This window comes from Homo sapiens, chromosome 4, assembly GCF_000001405.40.
Source record: "Homo sapiens chromosome 4, GRCh38.p14 Primary Assembly".
NCBI classification, from domain to species: Eukaryota; Metazoa; Chordata; class Mammalia; order Primates; family Hominidae; genus Homo; species Homo sapiens.
Window position 1 is genome coordinate 117,360,453 of NC_000004.12, and position 15,424 is coordinate 117,375,876.

The following is a 15,424-nucleotide window of genomic DNA, read 5'->3' on the forward strand; positions in this document are numbered from 1 at the left end:
TTATTAATAAATTATGAGAAAATATCTCCACTAAAGGTTATTCACTTAGTCCAATTATTTCCAATTTTACTGGAATTGCACACATGCTCACCTGAGGTGCTTTTCCCTTACCAGTCTGAATGTTCCAAGGAGGTCATGTCAACAGTTAAAGACTGCCATTTTGCCTCTTAGTGCGCATGTGTGAGCCCTCTCATCCGACTCCTGAGATCTTATCAGGAAGCTGCTGATCACCAGCTTCAGGTGTTTCTATTTATTGGGAGACTGTCTTTCCCTGGCACCAGCTGCAACCAATGATTACTTTAGAGAGACAGTTTAACAACTGCCTGACCATCACCTGATGGTCATCTGACATTCCCAGTGAGTGGGGTCCCTCTCCACTCTGCTTATGTCTGACTAGCTACCTACTGTAACATTATTACAGGAATCCTTAAAAAAAGAGAACTCTCTTCAGCTGGAGCCAGAAGAGATGCAATAGGAGGAGTGAGAGTTTAGAAGTATAAAATGCACTTGTCCCTTTGCTGGCTCAACAAGGCAGGAGGCAATATGATGAGGAAAGCAGGTGGCCTTAAAGAGCTAAGAGAAGTCCCAGAAAGGCAGGCAGCAAGGAAATGGGGAACCTCAGCATTACAACTACAGGGAATTGAATTCTGCCAACAATACTTCTCCCTGACCATCACCTGACCATCAGGTGATGGTCAGGCAGTTGTTAAACTGTCTCTCTAAAGTAATCATTGGTTGCAACTGGTGCCAGGGAAAGACCGTCTCCCAATACATAGAAACACCTGAAGCTGGTGATCAGCAGCTTCCTGATAAGATCTCAGGAGTTGGATGAGAGGGCTCACACATGCGCACTAAGAGGCAAAATGGCAGACTTTAACTGTTGACATGACCTCCTTGGAACATTCAGACTGGTAAGAGAAAAGAATTAAACATCAAATCTTCCCTCAGGGACTCCAGATAAGAGCCCAGGCCAAAGGACACCTTGATTTTGACCTTGTCAGACCTGGAGTTGAAAAACCAGCTGCACCCTTCTAGAATTCTTACTTACAAAACTGTAAGTCAATACATTTGTTCTACTTTGCTAGTTTTGTGGTACTTTGTTACTGCAGCAATAGAAAACTAATAAATATACGAACTTAAATATTTATTCTTTATATCTTAAATTGAATGTTCAGCTACATAGTGACAATTATTCCATAAAAATAAATATTGATTCATAATATATTTTTTTATTTAGGATACCCCTAAAGTGAGTTAGGCTTTGCATTGAGGAATCAATAGGGTGATATGAAAACGCTAAGACTAATATCTTGTGCTTAAAATTCTTAATGTGATTTTTGTTAAGTATTTACTCTTTAGTGATTTCTCCATTTGATAACTTTGCAAAATTTTTCACTTTAAAAAATGGGCAATCTAGAAATATTTTATTTCCTCTCAAATGGATTATGCAGATATTTACCAATACTAGGCAAGCATAGAAGTAAAAACCATTATGATGAAGAATAAGTACACAAAATAGTTTGTTTATTATGAGTCATTAATTTTGACTTTGTATAACATAAGAAGATCAGAAAAAAATTGCAGTGAGCTTTGTTAAACACTAACTTTGATCTTAAAATTTTTAACTCCATGCTCTCTCGAATAATAAGAAATGTGTAAATATATATCTTATGTTCTGGCTTAACTAAATTCCTTATTTTCTTCTCATCAATAAGTACTGTCTTTTACCTTTTTAAAGTGAATGAAATTACAGAATAAAAATTTAAATAAAATATTCAGTAAGTTAGTGTGTATTTCTTACTAGAAAACTCTAAATAGCATGAAGGACTTATTTTAATTTTTACTTATTTTCTCATTGAACACAAACTACAGATATAACCGTAAATTTTTACTTTGGATTCTTAAACCTTCAGGACTTGCTATGATCCTTTGTCTTTAGTATTTAAGCTTTCTTTGTGGGCATGAGCTGAGAGAAATGTAAAAAAATAATAATAAACTTTGTCCATATAGAAAAGGGAACCACACACACACACACACACACACACACCTGCACACACTAAATCTCTAAGCTCTTGAGAAAATAACAATTTCCCCTGGATTTCATGAAAGAAACAGATGGACAGACCCTTAGGCTCAGGGTGGAAGTGATGGTAGGAAGCTGGGTGTGTGTATTAGGTGAGCTGAGCTTGATAAATCCTCTAGCTCTGCCTCCCAGGCTTTGAAACACTATTGAAATATCTGCAGCATTTTTCTATTTCTATTTTTAACAAGAAATAGAAATTCCAATTTGAAAAATAGGTCAAACCAATTTGGGTAAATAAAAAAATGTTAGACTTCTCTACCCATACTAAGCTACTGAAAGTAACCCCATGAATCAGAAAAAAAAAATCCTTTAAATTCTATAAGCAAATTAAAACTATGTAACTTATTCTGTTAACATATCATACAAGAATTGAAAGGAATAAGTAAACATTATTAGTTATGTGGTTATTTTTTACTATATGCCAAAATATTATTTTTATAGTAATAAAAATTTATATTATAATACACTGACAAATTGATCAATGCAACATAGAAGAGAGTCAAAAAACTGATATAAATTATAAATGATATAGTACTTGAAAAAATAATATATATTTAATATCATAAAGAAATTAAAAATCATTGACATATGCTTACTTTATATTTGAATGAAAGACATATTTTTAACCTTTAAAAGAGTTATTATTTGATGGTAAGTTCTTTACTGATATAACTACTATTGGTTCTACTATTACTCTGACTATATTTTCCATAAATATTACAAATTAGGTCTAGTGAACTAATAGATACATGACATGTGGAAAAGATCTGTGCTTCAATGAAAACTATGCATTATTTATGGCACATTTCACATTACATTATTTTGATTCTATAAGCTTCTTTGCAACTCTGTTAAGTGGTAGATAATTAATAGAAATGCAAAATAATTCTTGTCTATAGACATGAAACTGAATTGTTCCATGGAGAGATAATCTTCTCACTCTTAATACTCAAGGATGAGTTTTGGATCTGTTTACAAATTCTTGCCAGTGTTCCTGATACATAATTGTGAGGAAACAGTGAAGTGCAATAACTGATTCAAAGGAGAACCCCAAACCTACACACACTTGACCCAGCAATCCCATTAGCAATCCAAAGGAATATAGATTGTTCAACCATAAGGACACATGGATTCATAAGTTAATCACAGCACTATTCGCAATAGCAGAGACATGCAATCAACCTAAATGCCCATCAGTGGTAGACTGGATAGAGAAAATGTGGTACATATACACCATGGAATACTATGCAGCCAAAATAAAGAATAAGATAATGTCTTTTGCAACAACATGGATGAAGCTGAAGACCATTATCCTCAGTGAACTAATTCAGGAACAGAAAACCCAACACCATCTGTTCTCACTTATAAGCATAAATTAAACACAGAGTACATATAGACACAAAGAAAGGAACGATAGACACCAGGGCCTACTTTAGGATGGAGGATGGGTAGGAGGGTGAGGATAAAAAAATCTACCTATCTTGAGACTAGCCTGACCAACACGGAGAAACCCCGTCTCTACTAAAAATACAAAATTACCCAGGTGTGGTGGTGCATGCCTATGATCCCCGCTACTCTGGAGGCTGAGGCAGAAGAATCGCTTGAACCTGGGAGGCAGAAGTTGCGGTGAGCCGAGATGGCACCATTGCACTCCAGCCTGGGCAACAAGAGCAAGACTCAGTCTCAAAATATATATATATATCTACCTATCAGATACTATGCTTATTATCTGGGTGATGAAATAGTATGGACGCCAACTCCCCACATCATGCTATTTAACTGTAGAACCAATCTGTACATGTACCCTTGACACTAAAAAAAAAAAAAATTAATTAAAAAAAGGTAGTGGATATTTAGTCAGTTCCACATTTTGTGTTATACTGGGACAGGCTCAAATCCATGACAAAGAGAATCTCTAAAGAGTAACTTTAAAGGTTATGTAAATTTCTGAAGTTGGGCCATCTTATTATTTTCTGTTAACATATCAACATATTTTTAAAATGGTTAAAAAATGGTACATTTGTATAGGACACTTAACCACAAATGCAGCTTGCAGGACGGGAAGTTACACCGGTTGAGTCAATGAATGAGTGGTGAGTGAATGTGAAGGCCTAGAACATTATTGTATATAGCTGTAGACTTTATAAACACTGTGTACTTAGGCTCCACTACATGTATTTAAAATACTTTTTCTTTCTTCAACAATTAATTAGCTTACTGTAACGTTTTAATGTCATTTTTATACCTCTTGTAATCTATCATCTCTCACCTTCACACACACATAAAAATCCTTCACTTCTCTAACCCTTATTATGTCTGTTACTGACGAAGAGTCAGGAAGAGCCTTGATCATCAATTAAAAATGACTTGAAAATGTTAGTAGTTGAAAAAATGGCACCTCCTTCTTTAAAAGGCCAGAAGATGATCCTTTAATTTCAGGTATCTTATTCACTATTTGAGAAGAGGCAAATGTTTGCTTTGCTTACTAAGTAAATTTACCCATCCCTTCCAATCTGTGGCATAAACTTAGTGACTACTTCCAATGCAGATAAAAAGAAAAAAAAATGAGAAAGGAGGAAAACCAAAAAAAGTAGTTTTCGAAATAGTTGAACATGTTTTCATAGAAATAATAAAAACACATTGAATATCCAGCTCTCTAATATGAGTTGATTCTAGTTCTCTTCTCCTCAGCCTCGTGAGGCAGTCAACTTTGCTACTGGCAGCCAGGAGTCTCCTAGGAGCTTCAATAGCTCAATACATCCAGAAAAACAGAGAAAGGGAGAAAGAGTGGCAGGGAGGAGAGGTTAGAGAGAGAGAGGGAAGTTTCTGAATCAAAGAGCAGAGGTGAGATATATTTCTGTCTTCTTTAAGATTGTATTTACTTGTCATTTTTCTGGTGCCCCTTAACTCTGTATTCAGAACCCCTTGTCCCCAGAGCCAACCATCAAACCCCCAAATAATATGCTAACTTTTCCTCTACCTTGTTTGTGTAAAAACTGGCTTTAAAGAAATTATCTGGCCTACCTTGTTTGATTGTTTGTCATAAGACTCCCATTCCAGAGAGGGTACTGTCCATACCCAGAAGGAAGGAATTCATGCTCAAGAGAGGCCAAGAGACTCTAGACACACAGGTTGTGCTGGGTTTACCCACTCAGTCTATTAGCATTAGATCATGTTTTTTGCCCAATAGTTTTTCTACATGGCTGTGCATACCTAAGCATAAAAATGGGCAATATTCCCTCTACCTTTGAGTCTGTATTCTGAAGCCTCCTGTGTTATATAAAACTATGATCAAATACATTTTTATGTATTTTTTCCTATTAATTTCCTCTTGTCAGTGATTTTTAGTGAACCTTGAAGGTGAGAAGGGAAAATTTTTCTTTGGTCCATACAAAAGTAATTTTATCTTTTTTCTTATACATTAAAGACACATTCATAGAAATCATTTCAGTATTAGAGCTATATCATTCTAAAATAGATGATATTAAGACATGTTTTTAGAAACATATTTAAATAGAATTTAATATACTTTAAAAGCATACATAGATGTCATCACATAACCGTTTTTTTCTGCCTTGTTAATTAGTGAAAAAGGAGAAAAATAATTAATTATAAATGTAAAAATTTGATTTTAAAATTTAAGACAAAGTTCAATTTATGAATAACCATTTTTTGTATTTGTTTTAATCATATGTGTGTGTGTGTGTGTATATATATGTGTGTATATATATATATATATATATATATACAGTCATATATCGCCTACTGATGAGAATTTTCTTTTGACATGAAGCTGAAGCTATAGAACTGAAGTTGCAAGTTCTCTCTGTGTTTCATGTGTCTGTAATTGAGAAAATTTTACTTTTTATTAAGAGTGTGAAATATTTTCCTATTTCTGCAGAATATTAAAAATTCATTAAGCTATCCTACAAAATAAAAAATATGTTTTGATTGGTTTGCATAAGTTAAAAAACACAATACTTAAGAATGTGCAATACTTAATATTGCATATTTTATTTTGTACCTTTAATTCATACTTTTTATGGCTGAAGAGTATTCCATTGTGTGGGTATAACACAATGTATTCATTCACTAACCTCTTGATGGACATTTGCATGGTATACAGGATTTGGCCATTACAAATGAAACTGCTGTATGAATATTCATGTAAAAGTTTTTCTACTAAATAATGCTTTCCTTTCTTGTAGGTAAATAGCTAAGAGTAGAATGTCTGGGTTGTATGGTTGGTGTATGTTTAACTTTTAAAGAAATTGCAATTTCCTAAAATAGTTGTACTAGTTTACAATTTCACCATCACTGTATGACAGTTTCAGTTATTTCATATCTTCACCAAAACTATGTTCTTTCTTTTGACTTTTAGACATACTTATGGGTGTGTAACATTATGTAATTGAAAGGTTTATTGTAATTTCTCTGAAGACAAATGATTTCAAGTATGCTTTCAAGGGCCTGTATGCCAACTATACTTCATTGATGGGGTGGTCTAACTTGTTTTTTTTTTTTTTTTTTTTTTTTTTTAAACAGAGTTTTGAAAGTTGTTTGTAGATAATAAAGCCTTTTTAAAGGTTTTGTAATTTGCAGTTATTTTCTCCAAGTGTATTGTTTCTCTGTTCATTCTCTTACAAGTGATTTCTGAAAAACAAGAGTTCTTAATTTTGACAAAGTGAAATTTGTTAACATACACTGTATGAATTATTTATGTAGTATTATATCTAAGAAAATTTTGTCTAACACAAGGTCACAATAATTTCATTCTTTTTTTCTAGATGCTTAATTATTTTGATTTTTAAATTTAGTTCTATAATTCATTTTGGGTTAATTTTTAATATTATGTGTTATTGGTCAAAGTTCACTATTTTTAATATGAGCATTAAATTGGTCCAGCATCATTTGTTAAAAAGATTTATTTTGTCCAGTGAATTATTTTTGAATCTTTGCCAACAATCAATTAACCTTATATGTATGGGTCTACTTCTGAACTATCAAGGCTGTTCCACTGACTGATTGATTTTTTACTTTATTGTTGCCAATACCAAACTGTCTTGTTTACTGAAATTTTATTATAATTCTTGAGGTCAGGTAACGGGACTCATTTCACTCCGTTTTTTGTTTTCAAAATTGTTCTTTGGAACAAATATTTGGCAAAAAAATATTCTAGGTGACTTCCTTTTCCATATAAATTTTAGAACAAACTTGTGAATTTCTATAAAAATGCATGCTGGGACTTTGATTGGTAGGTATTGCATTGATAGATCAACTTGTGGTGATATTGTTCCACTTATTTAAGCCTTCGTTAATTTTTTAAAACAGTGTATCATAATTTTCAAAGTATGGGTCTTGTACATGTTTTGTCATATTTATACCAAAATTTTTGTATATTATAATGCTTTAAAATGGTACCTTTTAAAAAATTTCAATTGTACATTGACATAAAATAAAATTTACTGTGTATACTGATCTTGTATCCTACTACCTTAAAAACCTTCTTATTATTTCTAGTATCTTTTTGTAGATTCCAAAAAAAGTTATGTAGATGACTTGCATGACTAAAGATGCTTTTATTTCTCCTTGTTTAAACTAAATTATTTTGTTTTTTTTCTTATCTTATTCTACTGAATAAAACCTCAAGTGCAATGTTGAATAGAAATAGTAAGAAAAAAAAACTTTGCCTTTTCCTAGTGTGAGGTTGAAAGCATCGGTCTTTAACCTTTAAATGTGCAAAAGATGTTAGTCTCTGATATGCTAATGAATATGGGTATTATTATTTAATATTTTAACTTTTATTTTAGGTTCAGGGGTATACATGCAGGTTTGTTTTATAGATAAACTCATGACTTGGGTGTTTGGTGTACAGTTTGCTTAATCTCCCAGGTACTAAGCATAGTACCCAGTAGTTTTGTTTTTGTTTTTTTCCTGAAGCTCTCCCTCCTCCCACTCTCCACCCTCAAGTAGGCCCCAGTTTCTGTTGCTCTCCACTTTCTGTCTATGTGTTCTCATTATTTAGGTCCCACTTATAAGTGAGAACATTCAGTATTTGCTTTTCTGTTCCTGAATTAGTTTGCTAAGGATAATGGCCTCCAGTTCCACCCATGTTCCTGCAAAGGATATGATCTCGTTCTTTTGAACATAGATATCAAATTGGTTGAGCGTCACCTGTTGAAAAGACATCTCTCCACTGAATTTCTTTGAACCTTAATCATGGAAATTATGGAAAAATATTTTTAATATTATAATTGGTCTGATTTTTTAAGCCAATATTTAAAAGTCAAATGTCATGAAAAAATTCAGATCACTGCTGTTAAAAACAAGTGTTAAAATAGCAAGCCCACCTAAATACAAAAGGTTCCAGGTGGGGCATGCATCCTTCTGATTGCCTAGTTATTATCACTCTTTATTGTCTCTTGATAATAATGGCAAGAACCAGTTTTTATTTCACATCATGCCTTATTTTCTTAGAGTAGAATAACATTTTTAGAGACATATTTTTAACATAGAGTTCTTTCCAAAATAGAAACTTGAGACTAACAGACTGTAAAGATTTGACATTTCAGTAGAACTGGGAGAGGTAATTTTTTGTTGTTGAAAGAAACAATAGTTCTACAAATTCAATATGCAAATAATTCTGTGTAATTTCTTTTTACTGTAGTAGGAATACTTAACATGAGAGCTGCCCTCTATAATTTTTAAGTACACAATACAGTATTGTTAACCCTAGGCATAACTGAAAGTATACCCATTGAACCACTCTCCATTTCCCCTCCTGCCCCACCTGCTCCTGGTAACTACTATCCTACTCTCTATTTCTGTGAATTAGACTATTTTGTATATCTCATATAACTGAGATCATGTGGTGTTTATCTTTCTCTAACTAGCTTATTTCACTTAGCGTGATGTCCTGCAGGTTCACCCATTTTCTCATGTATGACAGGATTTCCTTCTTTCTAAAGGATAAATAATATTCCCTTGTTTGTATATACCACATTTTATATACTCAGTAATCCATCAATTGACATTTAGGTTTTTCCACATCTTGGCTATTGTGCATAATGCCGAAATGAACATGGGAGTGTATATATCTTTTCAAGATCCTCATTTTAATTCTTTTATACATACTGAGTATATACTCACATGTGAGATTGCTGGATCATATGATAGTTCTATTTTCAATTTTTTGAGGACTCTCCATATTGTTTTTCACAGTGGCTACACCATTTTACATTCCCACCTACACTATACAAGAGTTCCAAATTCTTACATCTTTGCCAATACCTTCCTTTTTTTTTCTTTTTGATAATAGCCATCCTAAAAAGTGTAAGATAATATCTCATTGTGGGTTTTATTTGCATTTCTCTGATCATTACTGATGCTGAGCATATTTTTATATACCTATTGGCTATTTGTATATCTTCATTTGAAAAATGCCTATTCACATCATTTATCCATTTTTTAAAAAGATTTTTTTTTTGTTTTTTTTGTTTGTTTGTTTTTGCTATTGAGTTGTATAAATTCCCAATATATTTTAGATATTTACACCTTATCAGATATATGGTTTGGAACTATTTACCCCTTATCAGATATATGGTTTGGAACTATTATATTTTCTCCCATTCTGTAGGTTGCCTCTTCACTATGTTTATTATTTTCTTGACTATGCAGAAGCTTTTTGGTTCAAAAAACTCCCACTTGTTTGTTTTTGCTTTTGTTGCTTGTGCTTTGGTGTCAAAATAGAAAAAAAATTCATTGCCAAAACCAATTTATCTTCTTTTCCTGATACTTCCATAATGCATGAATTGGCTTCTTTGTGGTTTCCCATAAATCTTTTAAGCTTTTGTTACTCTTTGTTACTTTATTTTATTTTATTTTTATTCCTCTGATGGATAATTTCAAATGACCTTTCTTAGACTTCACTAATTCTTTCTTCTCTTTGATTAAGTCTGTTGTTGAACCCCTCTGGTTAATATTTTAGTTTGTTTGTTGTATTTTTAGCTCCCAAATTGGTTTGTTCCTCTTTTACAGTTTTTTTGTCTCCTTATCAATATTTTCATTTTGTTTAAGTGTTTTCTTATTTCATTTAGTTGCTTATCTGTGTTATCTTGTTACTCACTGAGATTCACTAAGATGATTGTTTTGAATTCTTTGTCAATTAATTCATGAGTATCCATTTCTTTAGATTGGTTATTGGAGATTTATTTTGTTCCTTTGATTGTATTATATTTTCTTATTTTTCATGTTCCTTGTATCTTTGTGTCAATTTCTGTGCATTTGAAATAGAAAGCCACTTCTCACAGTCTTTACTGACAGGGAAAGATGTTTACCGTTCAGCTTTGCTAGGGATTCTGGGAATCTCTAGAACCCTTTTTATAGATAGGTCTTGTCTGGATTTGTGCACGTGGATTTATAATGAGAGATTTTCTAGTTGTTTTTGGTTCTCCTCCTCCTCCTCCTCCTTTTCCTCCTTCTCTTCCTTCTTTTCTTCCTCCTTTTCTTCTAAAACCTCTAATCTCTTATTCCCTCTAATGTCTGACCAAAGTACTGCTGTCTGAGACATTGGAGGCATACTGTGCTCCTCTTCTTCCCTCCCTGTGGAGAAGCCTTAAGTTACATGCCTTCATCCAGTCTTGCAGAGTTGTGTCTAATGCAGCAAGATGCCTGCCTGTTTTCTTTGTTCCTAGCTGTCTCCAGGCATCCAAACTATGCCTGTTCCATCAGTACTAAGGGTGAGGTGAGAGAGAAACTAGTTCCTTGGATAACACACCAAATGGCCAGAATGTTGAAGGCATATTTCACTCCTCTTCTTTCTTCCTTGTCGAGAAGCCTCAGGTTCTGCACCTTCTCCGCTTTCTTGCACAGCCATGTTGGATGCAGTAAGCCACCCACTCCTTTCCTCTCTCCTTAGCTGTTATTGGGACATCCAAACTATGCCAATTCCATCAGCACTCCAGATGAGGCAAGACAGAAGCCAGTCCCTCCCTCGGGCAGACTATGAAAAGCCTGGATACATTAGATGCATACTTCCCTCTCTCTTTTTCCTTCAGGGAGATGTTACAAGACAAGATGATTTCACTGGAAGCTGAGTTTTGCCAGCTTTGGGGAAATGCTGATGCAGGTAAAGCGAAATTTCTCTTCTTACCAATTTCAATGTAGCTGTTATTAATTTTGTGGTTGTCCAGGCTACTGCAACTTCTTAACAAAATTCTGGACTTCTTAAAAGGGTATTTTGGTTTGTATATTATTTTTAAATCAGTTTTTCTGTGAGGGGTAAAGCCTGAGACTTCTTATTCTGCTGTCTTTCTTATGTTCTTCACAAAATAATCTTAATCAACATATTTTATTTACTATGCTTTCCTTCTTATTTAGTTTAAAACTTCTTTTTGTCCTTTATATTTTTTATTTCTTGTTTTCATATGTAAATGATCTACTTAAAGCCTATTAATGCGTTAGAGCTAATGAATGTTGTATGCAAATAAAATATATTATTATATGCATCTGCTTTTTATTTTTTTTATTCTTAGGATGTCTGACATTTTCAAGTAAATTTTTTTCCCTAAAATCGCATGTAAAATCAAGGCATAGAAATACAATAGTAGTATGCAAATTATTTATAAATATAATAAGAAATGGGTAACAAAAAGAAAAGAATAAGTATAAGCAATAAATTAAGTAAACTGTAATGACTACAAGATAGAAAAATTTCTTCTAATTATAATTCTCTAATTATAATGTTTTGCTAAAGATAATGCTATTAGAATTATAAAAGCTGAAATCAGTAGCACATAATGTTAATAAATTATTTTGTTTAAACCCCAGAACATCATTTATTTAAGGCTGATACTCATGGATAGAAGAGTCAAAGTGCGAATATATGCACCCTTCTATACGGATTCTGCAGAAAGATATGCTTGGGTCATGACTCAGGTGAATTTCCTATGAAACTTTGTCTTTGGTAAAGCATCCCATTCTTGGCTGTTCCATATATATATATATGGTAAGTTTGGGAGTGGCCTTGCTAGTAAAGAATAAATTATTTACTTGGTTCTAGCTATTTACAAAGTTGCTGGTGACTAATTGCTGGAAAGAAGCTGGGACGTTCTGTGGCCCCTCCATTTTATATCCCCTCCCTTTGGTTCTCTAGGAAATTGAGTTCAGGAAAGCTACCAGGAATAAAACTCTTACTTTTTATGCATGTGTATTTTTTTTCCAGACAATTTGGAGAGAATTCCCTGAAACATTCACTGTACAACTCTACTTTCTTGAATACTTACTATAATTAAAGTTCATTTCTGATTTACATAAAGACCAATGAGCATGCTAGAGAATTTCTGCTTCAGGTAGTTATTCAAGAAAACAGTACTATGGAAGCTTTACCATCTTCACTTTGTGGATTTCATATCTATTTCTACCTGGAAAAGAAGAGAAAGATAGAGTACAAAATTGCAAAAGGGGTTTTTATAGGCAATGACTTCAAGTGTAGCATATTACTTCTACCTGCATTCCATTGTCTGGATGTGGAATTCACTCATATGTGTACATTTAACAGCAAGAAAGATAGAGCTAGTTCCCTTAAGAAAAGAGAGAGGTATTCACTCAATAGCTCGATAATTTCTGCCACAATGAAAGTAAGATATGCATTACAAAATTGTTCTATTCTCTTTTCAAATAACTCATTTTAAATTGGTTGCTGAGACATTTCCTTGGAGCATAGTAACAGTTTCTTACTCACTCAACATAATTTCCATAATGCAAATGAAAAAAAAACTGGTAAATATAGGTTATAGTGTTACTTGTTAAAAGTGTTTTCCACATACAAAATTTTATTTGCATATGGTGTCCTTTGAAAAAGAAGCACTTAAGATTTTTTAATCTCTTAAAGTTAGGCATTTAAATCTAGTTAAATTCAAATTGTGATATATTTTGTATAACATCTTCAAAATTTATATCAGTATAAAACAAGTTCAGTTAAAAATCTACTGCATACACACCACCTTAGGTCTACTGTATACAAGAAATGACACAAAAAATTCTTCTAGAGTTTGAAACTGTCTGAAAGATTTTTGTTTTCAATCACACGCAGAGGGTTTAAATAATGAAAAAACCATGCTGTAATTTTTTATAATGTTTCTGAAACAATAACAGCAAAAACACAATTTAAGAAGAAAAAAGATGAGAAAAAATTATTAACAATTAACAATAACAAATAAGAAATTAAGAAATACATTCATTTAAAAATTAGTTATTTGGAGTGCTTAACACAAACTATAGTTCATGAACTTTTACCTACCTAGACATGGTTTATAATATTCTTTAATTATCAAAATATGTTTCAAAAATGTATTACTTATACAAATATGAGCTATCATTTGATGAGTAAGACAGACACTTGTAGCTAAAAAAATTCATGTAAAGAGCATATGCATTTCCATATATTAAACAGTGAAAGGCGTAACAGAGGAACTTTGCCACTTTACATGAAACATTTTGTTTCTAAACTTTTGAAAAGATTGAATTGGCAGATACAATTCAAGTTGAGATTTGGTTGGGGACACGGCCAAACCATATCAATAACTTTATGTAAATTATTTATATTGATCATTCTTTTGTATCCAAATATATAAACACATAAGTAATATATGTTCTGTCCAGGTTTTGTGTGTGTGTGTGATATTCACTGTAAAAACCTGGTAGAGATTGAGAGGCAAAAATCCCAAGAGTGTGAGGAACCACCTATGACTGTCTCCCTGGAGTTTTTAAGTCTCAGAGTTGTCCACACTGAACCTACAACAATTCATAAATCATAGTTCATGTTTTTCCACATAGGCACGGGGTTCTTTGGACATTGCTGCTCTGGTATGTTGTGATTATCTGTATTCACCTCTTGCTGTCTCCAATTTAGAGGACAGCTGTTTGACCTGTCACCTCACTGCTCTTATGGTCTAAGAAAACTCATTAATTTATCAATGTCTTCAGTTTTTTACTTTTTGGACAGAATGATGACTTCCATGCTTCTTACATGCTGGACTGAAAACTGAAAGCCATATGTATGTTTTCAGAGGATAACTCTTTGTGAAATTATTTAACAAGTACGACCTACTGTCTGTGTAAATATCGCATGTATTTACTTTATACAGTCTTCCTTACTCACAGTGAAAATCTAAAATATTTATGGTGCTCTATATCAATTCATCACTTCTGTCAGTAAGAGAGAAAGTGAGAAAGAGAGAGAAATGAAGACACATAGGCACGCACACACACACACGCACTCACACTCACAGAAATAGTTAGAAAGGTTGAGAAATGGTAAATGTATCTAAAACCCAGTACATTTGACCAGTTTCTAGGAAATAAAGATAAAAAATTAAACTTACAAACAATTTCTATATATACATATATGTGTGTGTGTGTGTGTGTATATATATATATATATATATATATATATATGTACATATATGTTTAAAAGTATACCCGGTTACATAATATAAATACCTAATAGATTCCACTGCATTTCTTTTTGGGGACAGAAACAGTGATCTTCCTAAAAATTGGATATATTATACCCATTGAAAATTTGACTCTAACTTATACCTCAACCTCAATTTTTTTTTTTTTACTCCTCACACAAAATTCTACAGAGAATTTCTCACCATTACCCAAAATTGCAATACCCTTCTATAATTACGTAGCTTAGAAAACATTCTTTTAACTTTTACAGTAACCTCCAATCCCTCATTTTTCTTGCAAACTCCTACTCACCTCTCCAGGCCAAGATCATTTGTCATTCCTTTCTCATAATCAGCTTCCACAACCATGCTTTAATTTACCTCGTTTTTAACCCTTAACAAATTGTTAAAACACGGTGTATTAAACACATTGCTTAATAAACTCAAGTTGTAATCTTTAACACATTGATTTATTTTGTTTCTGTGTATGATTTAACAAGTATTCTCTGAGACCTTAAAGGTAAAAAAACATTCATCCTCAGATTTATATATAAGATGCAGAATCAGTGAGTGTTAATTGTTAGAAAATGACTTTAATACTGTATTTTATTTTAAACAGCAGCTCTTCATACAAAAGAAGTGAATTTAATAGATACATTAAATAAAAATTAAATTAGTTATTGTCTAGACTTCTTTATGTATTCCCATCATGTTTAGTACAATGATAATCTATGATTATCATCATCATCCTTGTCATTTCCATGGGTATATTTCCACAGGTATATGGTCTTTGTGGGTGAAAATACAGTTATATAATAGTGTCTTTTTTTTACAAGTTATTCTCTGTGTTTCAAAGTTGTAGAGTGAATTGGAAAATCCTTCCCTG

The 15,424-nt window shown here is 32.7% G+C and overlaps 2 long non-coding RNA genes across 3 annotated transcripts in view; one reads left to right on the forward strand and one right to left on the reverse strand.

Moving 5' to 3' along the window:
* Window positions 1–187, reverse strand: part of LINC02262 (long intergenic non-protein coding RNA 2262) — a 46,043-nt gene extending 45,856 nt beyond the window's left edge. The window contains exon 1 of the long non-coding RNA NR_147151.1: window positions 112–187. This is a non-coding gene — a long non-coding RNA (long intergenic non-protein coding RNA 2262). The remainder of the gene's footprint in view (window positions 1–111) is intronic.
* A 12-nt stretch (window positions 188–199) lies between these two features.
* LINC02263 (long intergenic non-protein coding RNA 2263) lies at window positions 200–12,397 on the forward strand. Of its 2 annotated transcripts, none has more exons than NR_147153.1 (5): window positions 200–357; window positions 958–1,054; window positions 11,140–11,210; window positions 11,912–12,019; window positions 12,306–12,397. It is a non-coding gene; the product is annotated as a long intergenic non-protein coding RNA 2263 (long non-coding RNA). The 2 variants fall into 2 exon arrangements; NR_147152.1 differs by lacking the exon at window positions 12,306–12,397 and adding an exon at window positions 12,144–12,283 and having other exon boundaries at window positions 949–1,054.
* Window positions 12,398–15,424: the final 3,027 nt, after the last annotated feature.